This window comes from Homo sapiens, chromosome 1 (genome assembly GCF_000001405.40).
Source record: "Homo sapiens chromosome 1, GRCh38.p14 Primary Assembly".
Classification (NCBI taxonomy): domain Eukaryota; kingdom Metazoa; phylum Chordata; class Mammalia; order Primates; family Hominidae; genus Homo; species Homo sapiens.
Window position 1 is genome coordinate 243,834,452 of NC_000001.11, and position 17,650 is coordinate 243,852,101.

General features: G+C 39.4%; 1 protein-coding gene across 12 annotated transcripts in view, besides 1 other annotated feature; it reads right to left on the reverse strand.

The window, feature by feature from the left end:
• Positions 1–16,628, reverse strand: part of AKT3 (AKT serine/threonine kinase 3) — a 362,847-nt gene extending 346,219 nt beyond the window's left edge. For 6 of the 12 annotated variants that reach the window (NM_001370074.1, XM_047420641.1, XM_047422391.1 and 3 more), the window contains exons 1-2: positions 16,598–16,628; positions 8,674–8,831 (exon numbers count right to left, since the gene is read on the reverse strand). In NM_001370074.1, coding sequence (NP_001357003.1) covers positions 8,674–8,719 — 46 coding nt within the window. In that variant the 5' untranslated portion in view covers positions 8,720–8,831; positions 16,598–16,628. Of the gene's footprint in view, positions 1–8,673; positions 8,832–9,092; positions 9,134–15,588; positions 15,793–16,597 lie in introns of those variants that run through there. The other 6 variants (NM_005465.7, XM_047415643.1, XM_024446892.2 and 3 more) reach the window with 3 other exon arrangements.
• Positions 14,701–15,201: an enhancer, noted in NCBI's record as "H3K27ac hESC enhancer chr1:244012454-244012954 (GRCh37/hg19 assembly coordinates)". NCBI's record gives its function as "activates a minimal SCP1, AML or CMV promoter by ChIP-STARR-seq in naive H9 embryonic stem cells {active_cell/tissue: H9 hESC(naive)}" and the evidence as "EXISTENCE:reporter gene assay evidence [ECO:0000049][PMID:30033119]".

Consider the following 17,650-nt stretch of genomic DNA (forward strand, 5'->3'; position numbering starts at 1 on the left):
ACTGAGTACACATGGACAATGTATACTCGATGTTTCAAGAACACGCTGAGGGTGTACTTTGTGTACACATTGAGTACACATTTGAGTACACACTGTACTTTAGAGAGTATACACTGAGAGTGTATTTTGAGGGTGGAGGGTGGGAGAAAGGTGAGGATCTTAAAACTACCTATAGGGTACTATGCTTATTACCCGGATGACGAAATAATCTGTATACCAAACCCCCTCAACACGCAATTTACCCATATAACATCTAACCAATAATGTATTCTGGAAACTAAAAGTTTAAAAAAAAAAGCTAAGGAAAAGTTCTTCAGGTGAAAAAAAATATCAGACAGAAAATGAAATCTATAGGAAAAAAATTTTTTAACTGAAAATAGGTATATAAGTGTAAATGACCATACTTTTCCTGCTCTTTTTCAAAAGACGTATGAATAAGGCAAAAAATATATAACATTATAACAGAGTTTATAACATGGTGATATACTATACAGGAGAACAACAGCACAAGGCACTCTCAGAAGTGGGGGCAAATATAAATATAGCATTGGAAGAGTCTTATATTTTATATGGAGCAGTAAAATACTAACCCTACATAGACTGTAATAAATTAAGAATGAATATTGTAATCTCAAGAATAGAGTTCCTCAACCTCAGCACTACTAACATTTTGAACTGGAAATTTTTTTGCCATGGGATACTATTCCGTCCATTATAGAACATTCAGCAGCATATCTGGCCTCTACCCACTAGATGCCAGTAGCAATCCCACCCCCACATCATTTCAAACATGTCTCCAGACATTGCCAAATGTCCTCTGGGGACCAAAATCACCCTGGTTGTACTTTAGAGAGTATACACTGAGGATGTATTTTGAGGGTGGAGAGTGGGAGAAAGTGAGGATCTTAAAACTACCTATAGGGTACTATGTTTATTACCTGAATGACGAAATAATCTGTATACCAAACCCCTACAACATGTTATTTATCCATATAACAAACCTGTACATGTATTCTGTATTCCACTACCTTAGAACAATACCTAAAAAAGCAATGCAAGCTAAAATGATGACAGAACTGTTTATCAAAGGTTTTTCCTTGGCTCACCTAAGGAGCCTCTTTAGAAAACTCCCTCTAAATCACTTCGGTCCCCACCAAGAAATTTTAATACCAAAGATATATCTGTTTATATAATGTGATTGGAGAGCCACAAACAATTGTAATATAAAAGGATATTCTGTACCCTTTTCCAAGAACCTATGATTGCCCTATAGGAGAATTACCACTCCTGTTGAGAATGCATACTGTTAGTGGAATATACTGAAAAAAATTCAATTAACTCAAAAGAAGATAAGAAAGTATGAAGAGAGGTATTTTTTTAAAAAAATAACAGTATGCCTAAGTTCAACCACACCAACAATAACATTAACTATAAATTTTTAAATTGCTTTAAAATAAGACACATAAATAACAAGCCAATAGGAGAGATAAAATAGGATACTGAAAAGATACTAAATCCTAACAAAGGCAAAAAAATAGGGAAAAGATACAAAGAACACATGACACAAACAGAAAACTCAATCATATCAATAATTACATTAAATATGACTGGCCTAAAAACTCCCATTTAAAAGGTAAAGATTGTCAAATTAGATTTTTTAAAAAAGACACGACCCAAACATATGCTGTCAACGAGAGAAACAGTTTAAATACAAAACAAAGACTAAATATAATAGGACAGTTGAAAAGATACAAGATGCAAACACTAATCATAAAAAATCAGGAGTTACTATATTAATATCACACAAACTGAATTCCAAGATAAAGAGTGTCACTTGAGAAAAAGGTGAACATTTCATAAGGATAAAAGAAGCAATACATCAAGAAGATATAACAACAAAAAAGCCTCTAATAATAGAGCTTCAAAATATATAAAATTAAAAAGGTAGGACTAAAGAGAGAAACAGATAAATTCACAATCATAGCTGGAGACTATAACACTGAGTCACAGAACTAGAGGAAAAAAAAAAAACGAGTCAGTGAAGACATAGAAGACTATGACCCATTACCAATCATCTTGACTAGATATTTATAACACTATACCCCCAAAAAATAAAATACAGACAGACCAAATGATAAGACCACATAATGGATCATTTAAAAAATCATTAAAAAGTTGGCTGGGTGCAGTGGCTCAGGCCTGTAATCCCAGCACTTTGGAAGGCCAAGGCGGGTGGATCACCTGAGGTCAGGAATTCAAGACCAGCCTGACCAAAATGGAGAAACCCTGTCTCTACTAAAAGTAGAAAATTAGCCAGGCATGGTGGCACATGACTGTAAATCCCAGCTACTCAGGAGGCTGAGGCAGGAGAATCAACTTGAATCCAGGAGGCGGAGGTTGCAGTGAGCTGAGACTGCGCCACTGCACTCCAGCTTGGTGACAGAGCGAGACTCCATCTCAAAAAAAAAAAAAAAAAAGATTTCATAAAATGAATAAACTCCTAGCAAGATTATCAAAGGAAAAAAGAGAGCAAGTATATAATTTACCAATATCAGGATTTAATAAGGAGATATCGCTAAGATCTTACAGACATTCAAAAGATAAGGGAGCCTGTAATCCCAGCACTCGGGGAGGCCAAGGTGGGAGGATCACTTGTGCCCAGGACGTCAAGGTCAGCCTGGGCAATGGAGCAAATCTTGGCTCTACTAAAAAAATAAAAATAAGGATAAGGGAATATTAAAAACTTTGCACCCAGTAACTTAGACGAACATCTTGGATGAAAAGGAAATCCTTAAAAAATACAATTTACCAAAAATGACACAAGAGGAAATAGAAAATATGGATAGCCTTGTATCTAAAGAAATCTCATTTATCATCAAAAATCTTCCCACAAAGAAAGCTCCAACCCACATGGCTTCACTGATACATTTTGTCAAACACTGAAGAAAAAATACAATCCACCTTATGAGAAACAAGTGCTTCCCAACCTATTTTATGAATCCAGCATAACCACTGTATCAAAACTGAAAAGAAATTTACAGATCAATACTCTTGTAAATGCAAAAAACCCTTAGCAAAATATCAGTAAGTCCAAATTGGTAATATATTTTTTTAAATACACCATGACCAAATGGAATTTATTCCAGCAATGAAAGTAATTCACCATATTAAGAGAATAAAAGGAAAAAATCAAATGACCATTTCAATAGAAGCAGTAAAATCTTTAGAAAAAACTGACCACCACTCATGATAAAAACTCTCCGAACTAGGAATAGTAGGGAATTTTTTCAACCTGATAAAGGGCAGCAACAGAAAAGGAACAGCTAATGTGATACTTAAGTGGTAAAATAAATGCTTTCCCAATAAGATGAGCAATAAAGCAAAATATCCACTCTTACCACTTTTATTCAACAATGTACTGGAGGTCCTATCCAGTGAAATATGATCAGAAAAAGAAATCAGAGGCATAAAGATTGGAAAGGAAAAAGCAGAACTGTGGATGTTCGCAGATAACTTGACCATCTATGTAGAAAATCTTTAAACTAACATTAATAAGTGAATTTCATGAGACTTCAACTTACAAAATCAATACATAAAACTTGATTGTTGATTGAGAAGGAGCAAGTGTGTGTGTAACAGCAACTTTACAATTCTATAAATAACTTCAAAATGTATATGAAAGCTTATTTGATGGTTTGCTCCATGTGGTTCTATTGGTTGAAACTTTCAAAAATAATACATTGAAACTCTAAGAAAAGCTAATTTCACAGTATTGTAAATACATTAGTTAAATCTCAGAGTTTCAATACCATTAGAAAATAAATTTAATTTTCTTATGTTTACTCTCCATGTATAACCTCAACAGTCAAAGTGAGCTTCTCTAATGTACCATGTGGTTTACACAGTCACTACCACAGCTCTTTACTCTCTATGGAAAAAGCTTGCTGCTGGGTAGTAAACAGGAAATCATACTGTCATTTTCTTTCTCCTAATCATTTTATAACTTATTTCTAAAGTCATTTTGTGAATAAAAAATGAACAAAAAAAAACACATGCATGCACAAAATAAAGGAGAAGAAAAGACCCCTGGACTTAGATAAACACTCAAAAATGTAAATTGTTTTCTGTAACAACTTGTTAAATTTGACTAGATAACAAGAATCACATCTTACAGCATAACCAAGTTCACAATCTTTATGTTGCTAAAGTATATTTTGCTCAGCAGAATTAAGCTATCTTGTGAGACAACTCATAGACACAAAATCTTTATCCTGGCATTACCAAATACCGACACTGTAGTTCATCTAAATAAACCATTTCATGGAATATAAGAAAAATATTATTCAAAGGACAAAGTCAGTACAAAGAAAACTAAGGGAAAAAGTTATTTGAAAGCCAAAACTGGTTACACATAGAGAATACAACATGAAAGTTCAGTTTGTTAGATACTAATACAAAAAGTAGAATAAAGTAACACGAGCATGGAACATTTTCATCAAAATGCTTTTAATGATAAAAATCACCTCTTAGATTTATGACAATCTCAAAACAGTAACATTATGAATTGACTAGTTATACATTATATTTTAACTTATTATCAAGGAACTAGCTTTCCACATTTATAAAAGACTACTTAGGTTTTTATGAAATTTTATTAAGCAAATGAAAGTTAATAAATTATAATAAGCCCTTAATTAATACTATTGCAATTTATTTAATTCTATAATTTAGACCTTTTAAACTGGCTAAATTTCCTACTTTATTAATACACTAAGTACCTTCATAGCAAATATTACCACTAGCTATAAGGGAAAAAATTAAGAGAAGTGCTGAAATCCAATTTAGAGATTTAGAGTCACCTAGAACATACCTACAGGCTCGTCTTTGAGTAAGATCATTTAGTAAGTATTTAATATATACAGAGATGCCTCCTATGCTGATGTGCAACCAAGTTGTAAGGAGCTGTCCTGGATCCATCAAGGAGGAAAACGCAGACAATACTTTACTTGATGTTTGCTCCGTGATGTTTCTTTTATTGCCATTTCTAACACCAACAATACTATGGTAATGTGTTATCTCAATTAATACTTATCATTTTCAACTGTCCAGAAAAGTGTAAAAAATAGGATATCACTATTAATATATCACTAATAACCAAGGTTAGGAAAGCATTTATCCTACGTAATAATGAATATTTATCTTTCAGCCCTTTTTTTATTTTCCAAGAAGATATTTACTGAAAAGCAACTTACTCACATTAAAAGTACAAATCAGATTATATCTGGAGATAACAACAATTGATGCATATAGTCTTACGAAAAAAGACTAATATTCAAAGTAATAACTATATTATAACTTTATTATATCAATTTTTTGTTGTTGTTGTTGATGAGACGGAGAACATGACTCCATCTCAAAAAAAAAAAAAAAACAGAAAATACAGGAAAAGGTCCGGGTGCGGTGGCTCACGCCTGTAATCCCAGCACTTTGGGAGGCCAAGGCAGGCAGATCACGAAGTCAGGAGATCGACACCAACCTGGCTAACACGGTGAAATCTCGTCTCTACTGAAAATACAAAAAATTAGCCTGGCATGGTGGCATCCCAGCTACTCGGGAGGCTGAGGCAGGGGAATCACTTGAACACGGGAGGCGGAGGTTGCAGTGAGCCGAGATCATGCCACTGCATTCCAGCCTGGGTGACAGAACGAGACTCCGTCTCAAAAAATAAAATAAAATAAAATAAAAATAAAGAAAATCCAGGAAAAATAGCCACAGTCCAAACTAGAAACCAAATTAAAGTATGGCAGCTCTGGAGTACAAAGAGAGCGTAAGAAATCCATTTGTTCTCCAATGAGAACACACGGACACAAGGAGGGGAACATCACACACCAGGGCCTGCTGGGGGTGGGGGGCAAGGTAAGGGAGAGCATGAGGACCTAATGCATGGGGGGCTTAAAACCTAGGTGACAGGTTGACAGGTGCAGCAAACCACCATGGCACATGTATACCTATGTAACAAACCTGCACGTTCTGCACATGTATCCCAGAACTTAAAGTAAAATAAAATAAATCCATTTGCTCTCTAAGAATCTCATCATACCACTTTGTTTAGTCATATTATTTATATAATGTAATATTTTAACTGCTTTTCAGAATCAGCAAGTATAACTATTATAAACCTTGACATATAAAATAAATGTTACAGTTGAAAAACTGGAAAGGGAATGTGAGGAATTCAAGGGAAAGATGAGGAGAAAAGCTAATTTTTTTTTTTTACAACTTATAAAGTGGCAAGTTTAGAGACAATGTCTGAACACTCTAAAGTTAACTGTTAAACAGCTATAAGTTTAATCATAAAGGCAACCAAAAAATAAAAGGAAGAAGGTAGGATCAGTATTAAAAGTTAAATCCTTCTATTTTTCACAATGGGGAGATATTAGGTTACTGAAGGTTAAAGTTTAGTATATTATATAAAAAACTGGCATAATGATGAGACAATTAAAAATAGGAAAAAAAGTTCTAAAATGATTATCTCTGACAAAGGAGGTAGAAAAGATAGGGAGATTTTTATTTTTCATTTTATACCTTTGTGTGTTATTCAAATTTTTATGTTTATGCAACTATTCATCTCAAAATAAGCACATACACATTATTAGAAACACATACACATACACATCTCAAAATAAACACATACACATTATTAGAAAAATGATGGCAAATTCTTATTCATTTTTTTTTCTATAGTCCATGGACTAAATACTTTCTATTATGGTATTTCAAAGATATAATTAATTAAACAGACTAAAGAATCATCCTAAACCTTTGATAAATATGTGGAGATAGCAACAGCTTACATTGTGTTAGAACTGTCAAAATAAATCCACAACCATCATCTCATTTAACCCTCAAAACCATCTTGTGAAAGCAGATTTTAGAGATTAGTAAAGTAAAACTCAAAAAGGTTCAAGTGATTTGCCATCCCCCTCCAAAAAAAGTAGAATAATATAAATACGTTTAAAAAGTAAATCAAAAAAGCCTTTATAAAGCACTGAAATCTGAAAATGCTTTCGTAATTTATAACAGGAGAATGACATTGAAAGAAATTACACTTGACAATACAAATGGTCAGGCACATCGGAAAACAGCTGGGCAGTTTGTTAAACATATACTTCTTATAAAGTTAAACACACACTTACCATATGACCCAGCAATATCATTCCTAAGTTATTACCCAAGACAAATGAAAACACATTACACAAAGACATGCACTCTAATGTCCAGACTCTTTATTCGTACTAACCAAAAGCTAGAAGCAGCCCAAATGTCCAACAAGTGATTAACAGATAAACTGTGATATATCCAGACCATGAACTACTACTCAACCATAAAAAAAAAGCTAATGATATACAAGACATGGATGAATATTAACAGTATTATGCTATGTAAAAGAAATCAGCCATAAAAAAACTATGTACTGCATGATTCCATTTATATGAAATTCTAGAAAAGCAAAATTATAGTAACAGCAGATAAAGTGGTTGCCAGGGTTAAGGGATGAGGACTGGGCTGCAAGGGAGAACAAAGGAACCTCTCGGGTTAATGAAAATAACCACTATATCGTTTTCAGAGTGTTTGTTACACTACTGTGTATCTCTGGCAAAACTCATCAAATTATGACTTTACATTGCTTAATTTTATTATGTAAGTTACGACTTAATAAGGCTCATTTAAAAAATAATCCATAATCACATTTAACTATGACAACAGCTTTTCAGGATAGGTATTTACTACAGACCTTCAAAAAATATTAAAATCAATATTAGGAGGGAACTTGTAACCATAAAGTAGATATACAGGAACTAAAAGGTTCTGAGAATGGAACAGTCCTCATCCTACTCGACGTGGCCATGTGGGTAAACAGTAGTTGCCTAGCAACTAATCTAAACTCTAAATTTCTAATAAATATATTGACCACATAAGCAGGTGATCTCACAGATGATAAACCGCTTTACATCGAAGGGTTCTTCCTTTAATAATAAAAAATAATAATGTGCTTAAGTTATTTATCTAAAGTAGGAGTGAACAAGGTGTATTAAACCTAGATGATGAAAAATAAAAATACGAAATTAAACATAAACATACACACACAAAAAATCCTTGTCCTCATTTGGCCTTTTACGTCAGGACTTTACTTACCAAATTTATGGGATTAATCCATGAGTTTGCGGGTGAACCCTTTCCCCTTTTCTACTTTAAGCCATTCCCCTACAACCATTCAAACTGGCTTAATTCTCTTATTTATATATTTACATGTGATTAAATGCATATAGGATCGTACTTTTACATATATTAAATGATTCTAAAGATATCTCTCCAGATTACAGAACCTGTAGACACCACAGAAAAATACAACACTTTCTGTAACACGCTACACACAACATACCAGAAAGTCAAACCTAACTTAACTAGATTATAAATGCTCAAAATCAAGAATTACAAAAAAATCCCTTAATAACAAGCAAATTCCTAACACACGTTAAATATATCATTTCTCTCTTACTAGACATAGCATGACACAGTTTAACAGTATCAGAAAAAAGATCAACTTCTAAGACACCACTCACTGCTAGCACTCTTACCAACCGTATTATTTTTGGTTTGCGGAGCACTTACCCCTCTTCTGAACCCAACCTTCTTTCACAATGGTAACATCGCTCATGATGACTCCCCTCTGAGCCCCCAACTTGGAGAAATGGTACTTTGTGATATCAGCTTTAGGGTTTGGATTCTCTGCTGCTGCTGCCCTTCCCACTCTCTAGTGATGACTCAGCCTGGAAGGAAGTATTGAAGAAAGAATTTTTTTTCCATTCTTGCAACTCACAGAGCAATAACAAACAACTAATTCTTTGTAAATGTCTTCAACTGGCCTGACCTCACATAAAAGTCTGGCTCTTCAAACTGGGGAACTTATTTATTAAATAGTTCTATAATGAAAGCACTTCCCTAGTCTTGTGACCAATTTCAAATGATAGTGAAACTTTTAACCTAAGAGGTTGCAACAAAAAAGTCTTAAGAAAACCAGTCACGCCTACCCAAATAATAGAGAAAATTTGTTTGGTGATGTGTATTTGAGGTGAAGAGGGAAGAGAATGAAAGTTAATTGCCCTAAATCCCTGTAATTTCAGAAGCAATTGTAAATTTTTTGTTTTTTTTTTTTTTGAAACGGAATCTCACTCTGTCGCCAGGCTGGAGTACAGTGGCGCGATCTCTGCTCACTGCAACCTCCACCTCCCAGGTTCAAGCGATTCTTCTGCCTCAGCCTCCCAAGCAGCTGGGACTACAGGTGTGCGCCACCACGCCCTGCTAATTTTTGTATTTTTAGTAGAAACGGGGTTTCACCATATTGGCCAGGCTGGTCTCAAACTCCTGACCTCATGATCCACCCGCCTCAGCCTCCCAAAGTGCTGGGATTACAGAAGTGAGCCACCACAACCAGTCGTGAATACTTTAAGTGATATAAAATACAACGTACCAAGAACTCATCATTTACGTATTCTTACTCTGCCTGTTCCAAGAAATATTTTAAGGAGATTAAAAAATAATTGATTTCATATTATGTACTTATTATAAAGTAAAGTGAAACAAAGGGAATATGAAAGTAGAAAAAAATATTTAGTACTCAAGATGTGCCAAGAACTGTTACGGGTACTTACATCTATTATTCTTATGTGATCTTTATAACCTTATGAGGATACTATTAATTCCATTTCACAGACAAGGAAACTGAGGCTCACACAGATAAACCAACTTGCTCAATTTCAACACACCTAGTAAATGTGGAGCCAAGATCTGAACCCAGGCTGTCTGACTCCAGAGCCTGCATTCCAAAACTATACTGCCTTAAGATAAAAAGAAGTCAGAGTAAAGGCATACATACTTGGGAAAGATACGTCACAAATTTGGCATGGAGCTCTTGGGAAGACAATGCAAATAACAAAACACAACAGGCTTTCCTATTTACAGTATCCAAAAAAAATTTTTTTTTGAGATGGGGTTTCCCCCCATCATCCAGGCTAGAGTAGAGTGGCACAATCATAGCTCACTGCAGCCTCCAATGGGGGTCAAGCAATCCTCCCACCTCAGCCTCCTGAGGAGCTGGACTACAGGCAGGCATCACCATGCCTAGCTAATTTTTAAAAAAAATTTTTGTGGAGATGGGGTCCCGCTATATTGTCCACGCTGCACAAATTTTTTTAAAAAGCAAAAAAAGTTCCTCAGAAGAAATACAACTTTTCCTGGGACAAACATCGAATTTATCCCATGGGTCTTCTTCATAAGATGTATGCGGGAAAGTCCTCAAAAACACCCTCCCATATACAGCAATGAGTTTTACAGGGTCATTGCTTATTGTCACTCTCAAACTAAAAAGGAAAATGCCAACATAAAATTAGTAAATCCATTTGCACAGAAGGGGACCAAAAAATGTGGTCCAGGTACACCAGTGTTATGTGGTCAAGAATCATATCATAAATTTTAGATAACTAGAAAAATGGATAGATGGACTACACAAACATACTCTCTCAACTTGGTTTGTGATAAATGATACATAGCAGTTAAGTTCAGTGTTAGACTCCCAACCTAGCGCTAAATTAGACTACAGGTCATTCTTCAATGCAAATTAAGTGTGGAGCTTAACCATTTAACAGTCAGGAATCAAGACTAAACATTCTCTAGACAGCCTGACTAAATAGCCTGACAAAAGCTATGTAGCTGAATGCAAGACCACCAGCCTCATGTATTATGAGGTCACAGGCAGAACCTATAGGTAAGGCTGAGACTCCTCAAAATCACCATGAGTCTGTTGCTGTAGAGTGTCAAAAAGGGATATTAGTTTGTAATCCCAGCACTTTGGGAGGCCAGGGCAGGAGGATCACTTATGTCCAGGAGTTCAAGGCCAGCCTGGGCAACATGGCAAAACCCATCTCCACAAAAAATACAAAAATTAGCTGGGAGTGGTGGCAGGCACCTGTAGTCCCAGCTACTCAGGAGGCTGAGGTGGGAGGATCACCTGAGCCCAGGAAGTCTAGGCTATGCTGAGTGGTGACCGTGCCTGGGTGCTACAGTGAGAACCTGTCTCAAAAAAAAAAAAAAAGAAAAGAAAAGAAAAAGAATTTGGTTGCACAGTTGGCCATATTTTTGTAATATGCATGTAAAATCATTTTAAAATCTGTCTTGGGAGCCTCATCATAAATTTTTAAAAATCCATACATACATATAAAATGCAATTGATATATGGTCCATTAAATACCAAGAATCAGCTTGACAGAATTTACCCCCAGATTAAACTGAGCTACCCAATAGGTATGGAATCCTCTAACAAGGTTCATCACAATGGTGTATTAGGAAGAGCACCAGAAAGACCAAGAAACTTGAGTCCCTGCCCCACCCAGAGTGATGCTGTATAAGGTCACTTTAATTATCTGTGCCTCAGTTTCCGGAGCCATAAAAATGAAAGTATAGCATTAGATGAACTCTGAATAGCTTTATAGCTCTTCCAGAGCTAATATTTATGATTCTGCAAGTTAAAATCTACGGAGTATCTACTTCATATATAGATGGCATCATAAGTGAAAGACATGATTATACATACATAGTTCATGTCCTCAAAAGTTTGATAATTGGAAGATAAAACATTCAAACAGCATTTCAACTAAGACAAAATTTGGGCTAAGCTCCATTATTGGAAAAATACTGTCCTCCTTCCCCTCCCATCCCCTAGTCCCCCAAATACAGTCAGAAGCTTTCTAATATAGATTCCAATATACATGTAAAATCCTCCTAAAATCTGTCTTGGGAATCTCCCTAATTATAAATTTTTTTAAATCCATCCATATATATATAGGAATTATCTAATATAGGGAAGAAAAATTATCATTTGCAATTCTAGTGTTTTCTTCTAGTAAATCTTTTTACTTTCCTCTCATAATATTTAGAAATGAGAAATACCTGTAGTTGGTGATAGAGTACTGAAAAGAAACAGAACTAAAAAACACATCAACAAGTCAAGAAGCATATATTAATTTTATCTACCCATTAGTATTCAAAGATTACTTGGCAGAGAAAATGAGTTTACATCTAATTTGATTAAAGACTATGATGCTATAATAAAATCTGTAAACATTTGAGTTATTTAATTTGGCATTTTAAACAAATGAAAGGTGATGTTAATGGGCCAGTCAATACACTTTTATTAACTTGATGCTATGGAAATTATTGTACCAAATTTTGCAAATTTAGAATTATCACTGTTAACTGTAATAATAGGTACAAACAAGAAAAACACTAGAAGTGTTGCAGAATTAGGAAAGTTTAAATAAAAGGTATTTTTAGAATGCCACAATAAGTTTTTCTTATGTGAAAATCACTTTCAAAAGTGTAGCAGGGGTTGTTTGAAAGATTAAATGAATACAGGTAAAGCACATAGAACAGTGCCTGGCACATGGCAACTGCTTACCAGGCATTGGTTAGCATTAACTCTAAACTGAATCTAATCCTATCCCATGTAAAAGATCAGGACAAAGTATTTGTTGTCGGAAGATTCAGGACTATCTTTCCAAAAGAAGGTATGCTGTGTGACCAGGATTTAAAATACTGATGCACATGCTGAAACCTGGAGTAACACAAATCTTCTAACAAAAATTAATTGTATTATTAATGCATATTAACTTAAAAATAAAAATGCCAGTCAGATCACAAGACTGATTTGCTCAAAATGAAAATGGTTTTTCAGTTCTTGCATTTTGTTGCTCAAATCTAAGATAGTTTTAAATTTTTCTTTTTAACACTTCAAAACTTAATCACACTATAAAGACAAGCTCCTATCAAATCATGCTAAGCATCCAACTAACAAGTTGTTAACAGTGATTGCCTTACCTTCCCAAGGACAAATTCTTGAACTAAAAGATATAATAACAAAAGAAAACATAGCTATCTTTTCACGAAAATACACAAAGTTTAAGTAAAGGCTAAACTTCTACAAAATCAATTTGTAAAACAGGTTCCTCATTTTAAAGAAACCCAGATAGCTGGAAATTTCCACTGAATTTTTATGAGAAAATTTCTGATGTTTACATCAAAAGCTACAGCTTAAAAAATAAGTCCTTACTTTCCACAAGTCTCTATGCTAAGTCCATTTGTTCCCTAGTAAGTTTAATCAACACGTTTATTTAGATTTGCAGTGATTCTGAAAACAGATTCCTTCTGACAGTGATTTTCTGAATGAAATGTAAATATTAAAAGTTTTTAATTAAACCAGCACACAGTTCACACTCCAGTATTTGTTAAATATAATCTTATTTAAAATATTTTACAGCTATGAAATTAATTTTTAAAAAGTCCAAAGCAAAACCTTAAAGTACTCTGACATATACAATTTAGAGTCGATGTCAAGATTATTAAGCCAAAAATTAATTTTAAATTGGAAAACAATTCACTCCAGTAATAATTATGGAAAGAAAACCAAATGAATACAAATAATAATTTCACAATTTTTGCAGGATTACTTTGGACTATTTTTAAAACGCTGTAAGAAAACATGCTGCAAAACCACAATGCAAATACACAACTGAAAACTAAAACCCTACATTCATCTAAATTTCAACAGTCTCATTCATGTAATATTTGTCCTCCCTCACTTTAAAACTGGAACCTCAAGCCAATCAAAGATATTGGGGTCAACCCTAGTAAGGAAAACAAAAAGATCTTCAAGTACCATCTCCCTGTAAACTTTCAAGTACTATCTCCTTGGTAAACTTTCCAAGTCAAGATAATGTACTGGCAAAAGGAAAACAATTACAGTCCGGATATATATCTTGCATATAATTGTGCATTAAGTCATAAACCTTGGAAAACTAGTAACTTAGTAATAAGTTGCTATTTTAATTATAAAATATTTTCATGTTTTAGACAACCACCCCCGGAATGTTTGTATTCGTTTATACATATTTTGCAAGTGATACTCAAGTTCTGAAGACTAATCTTCATTTCCTACACCATCTTTATTAGACTCTTCCACCTTCGTTTTCCTAAGTAAATACATAACCTAAACCAATGAGTTTCACTCATTTGTCAGCTTCAACCACTGACAAAACCCAGTGGTTGCCTAGTGATGTATAGTTCTACTAAAAGACATATATGACCATGCTTTACCAAATACGGAACACATGTCTAAACTGTTGAGACAACTGCCAATGTATTAACTACAAAAAGCCATTATTTTTTACTTTAGCCTCAACTAAAATCAAAGTGTGAACACTTTATTATGGCTAGAAATTACCCAATATAGATGCATAGGTTTCACTGTTGACTTTCTATTTGGAAACTTCATCAATTGCAAACTACCAGGCTTTCAACCAAAATGCCACATTGGTGAAATGAGTTGGTTTTATTTTCATAACAACATTATTTTGATGGAAGAAATGTGAGCATCCCAGCTTTGACTTGTGGGTAAGCATTTCCTCTGCTTTCAGAACATAAACAGTAAATACCGGTATTGGAAAAACCTGGCCCCAACGAGATTCTTTATCTCTAGGCTAACTGTAGATTCCCGGGAAATCCCAAACAAGGGATGGTGACCCCGCCTCGGCGTCAGGGTCAACACAGCAACCAGCTAGGCTTCAACTTTGGGCTCTGAAGGGCCCCACCGGCATCATGGCTGATGCGGACCGATGCGCCGGAGGAGGTGGACAAGGAAGAGGCTGGTCTGTTTACTTGCAGCCAGAGCTGCCGCCGCCGCCAGCAGCGACAGCATCACTGGATCAGCCAAACCCAGCATCTTCCGCACATTTCTATTCTTAGCACACAACTCCCAAGCGGATCAAAACCCCACTACTATTAAAAACACAGACAAGCACGTTACCCACCTCCCACACACACACCCCCCCCCCCACCCCACCAGTGCCGTCTTTTCCTGCGCGCCAGTGGCGGGGAAGGGTGGGGGAAGGAAGGAGACCCCGGGGACGCCTGTGCATCCTCGCCTTCACCCCACCCCACGCGCAGACAGCCTCAGCGCCAGGGCGCGCGGCAGACGGCTCCCTCCCCCCAACCCAAACACACTGACACCGGCGCTCCACGCGTTATATAACCTCGCCGCCGCCCCCGGTCCAGGCGGGCGCCCCCTCCCCACGCCGCGCGGCCCGGGCGGGGAGGGGCGAGGGGAAGGAGCGAGAGTTGCGCAGACAGCAGGCGCCGGGCCGGGGCAGCCCAGACACAGACGGTACCGCTAGGCCGGGAACACCCCTCCCCCGGCCCGCTGCGCACCGCCGCCCCCCAGCTTTCCCCGGAAAGCGGGGGGTGTCGGTGTCAACCGCGCTGGGCATCCCCCGGCCTCCACACCCACACCCGAAGCCTCCGGTGACCCAGCCCCCGCCCACGCCCCCGGCGCGGTGACAACCCAGAAGCCCCCGCCTCACCCCACCCCGCCGCCATCCCCCGCCTGAGGGAGGCAGGGAGGGCGGACCGGGGCCCGGGGCCCGGAGGGAGTGGAGGCCAGGCGGGGAGGGGGCTAGAGTTGGGGGCGGTGGCTGTTACCTGCAACGGCGGCGGCGGCGGTGGCGGCCCCGCAGCTGCTCGGGCGGCGGCGGAGGATGGAGCCGGGGGGGGGCGGGGGGAGGAGAGGGGGCGACTCGGGGGTCCCCCCTCCCTCCTCCTCCCCTCCTGTCCTCCCCCCACCCCACAGAGCCTCTGGCCTCCTGGAGCCCGGTGCGGCCGGCGGGAGGGCAAGCGAAGGGCTGCAGGGGAGGGAGGGAGGGAGCCGGCCGGGCCGGGCCGCGGAGCTGGAGCGGGAGGCGGCGGCGGCGGCGGCGGCGGCGGGAGGGGGAGGGAGGAGAGAGGGCGGCGGCGGGGAGAGGAGGAGGCGGAGACTCTACATGGGAATCGGATATCGGCTACAAATTCATCACCAGAAAACACCGCTCGGGCGGGGGCCGGGTCACGCCGGCGGGGCGGCGGCTCTGGGCCCCGGGGCGCGCCCGGCGCGGGGAGGGGTTCTGCGGCCTCCTCCCGGGCTGCGCCTCGCTGAGGGGACCCCCCGCCGCCTCCCCGCCCCCTCCTTCCTCCCGCTCGGGGCCGCCGCCGATCGGTTCTCGCCGTCGCCGCGGGGCTTGTTGTTGACTTTGAGGAAAACTCCTGACGTCAGGGGCTGGCTCTCGGCGACTGGCGGGAGCGGCTTCCCCGCGTCCCCGGCCCTGCCCGCCGCCTCTGCTCCCCTCCCTGCCCGGCCCTCGTCCTCAGGCTTCCCCGCGCCCCCAAACCAGCGGTGCCCCGCGCCCCCTCTCCTCTCGCGAGAACATCCCCCTAGCCAGCCAGAGCCGGGAGCGGGGGCAGTCGCTCCCGGGCGGGAAGTTCTGGGTTTCCCCCTCGCCCGCGTGGCCCTTGGCGGGCACCCGAGGCCCGGGAGCGGAGGCTCCTCGCCCAGCCGCTTCCTCGGCGCATCCGCCCACCCGCCCTGGCCGCGGACGCGCGCGCCGCCAGGCCCCGGGCGTCTCCTCCAGTCCGCCGCGGCCCCTTGGGGAGATGGGCCCGGCGCGAGGGCTCGCACCTGGAAGCCCACGAAGTGGGCGGTGCCCAATGAGGTAGGGACCGGAGAGCGCGGAGCAGTCCAGAAGCCGACCCCACCCCCTGCACCTCGGGGAAGAGGGAACCCGGGTCAGCCCGTAGCAAGAATCATTCCTGACTATCCCAGGAGACCACGGCAGACCAAAAACACCTCTCTGAACAGCCTTCCGCACCGCTCGCTGCAAGCATTCGTCCACACACGGTACACAGATTGCGGGCGGATCGTAATTCACTCTTGAAATCACACCCTTTTTAGGGATATTCGTTTTCAATGACTTTGGGAAAGCCACGAGGTACTACATTTACTACGAAGAGACCGTTTCTTTATTTTGAAGTCAGTGACTCCTGAGACTGCATTGGGGACAACTTTTTTGCACAATGACCATATTTTACCATGCAGCGCACTTCAGAAAATTATAAAAGTTTACAAGTTTTATCGCTTCTGGAAACACCTGGGCAGCATCCCTATTATCCCGCCACGTGGCTCTAGCCTTGTTGATGTACCTGTTACTTTCTCCCACTGCAACATTTTTGTTAATGTCTGTGGCTTCTTTCTGCAGAAGAGTTCCTCCTCCTGACATGCACTTCATTCTCTGCTTTTCTATGTCTTGACAACTCTCTTATGGTAGTCATTTTCTTATACTGTAGCCCCCTGGTATTTATGTACTGTGTGGTATTAATATTTATACTTCCAGGTTCACATCTTTTATGAACTGTGCATCTGTTGGGATTGTGGACAGGAGTAGGAAACCAAATAAAAGGGTTTTTTAAAAAAGTCAGTTTTCTCCGTTTGTAAGGGAAACTTGTCTCCCTGACCACCCTGGAGCAAAATTTGCCATTTTAAGATAACACAGTCCGTCTGAGAGAAAGTCCTGCACCATGCCTTTCCCCTTTTCCCATATTTCCCAGCATGCTATGAGCTGATGAATAAACAGACTTTGTCCTATTTTCGTTGTATCTATAAAATATACATAATGTATTCCCATAATTATCAGACCTCTCACAGTCACTATTGGTAAAATTATTGGGTTACAGG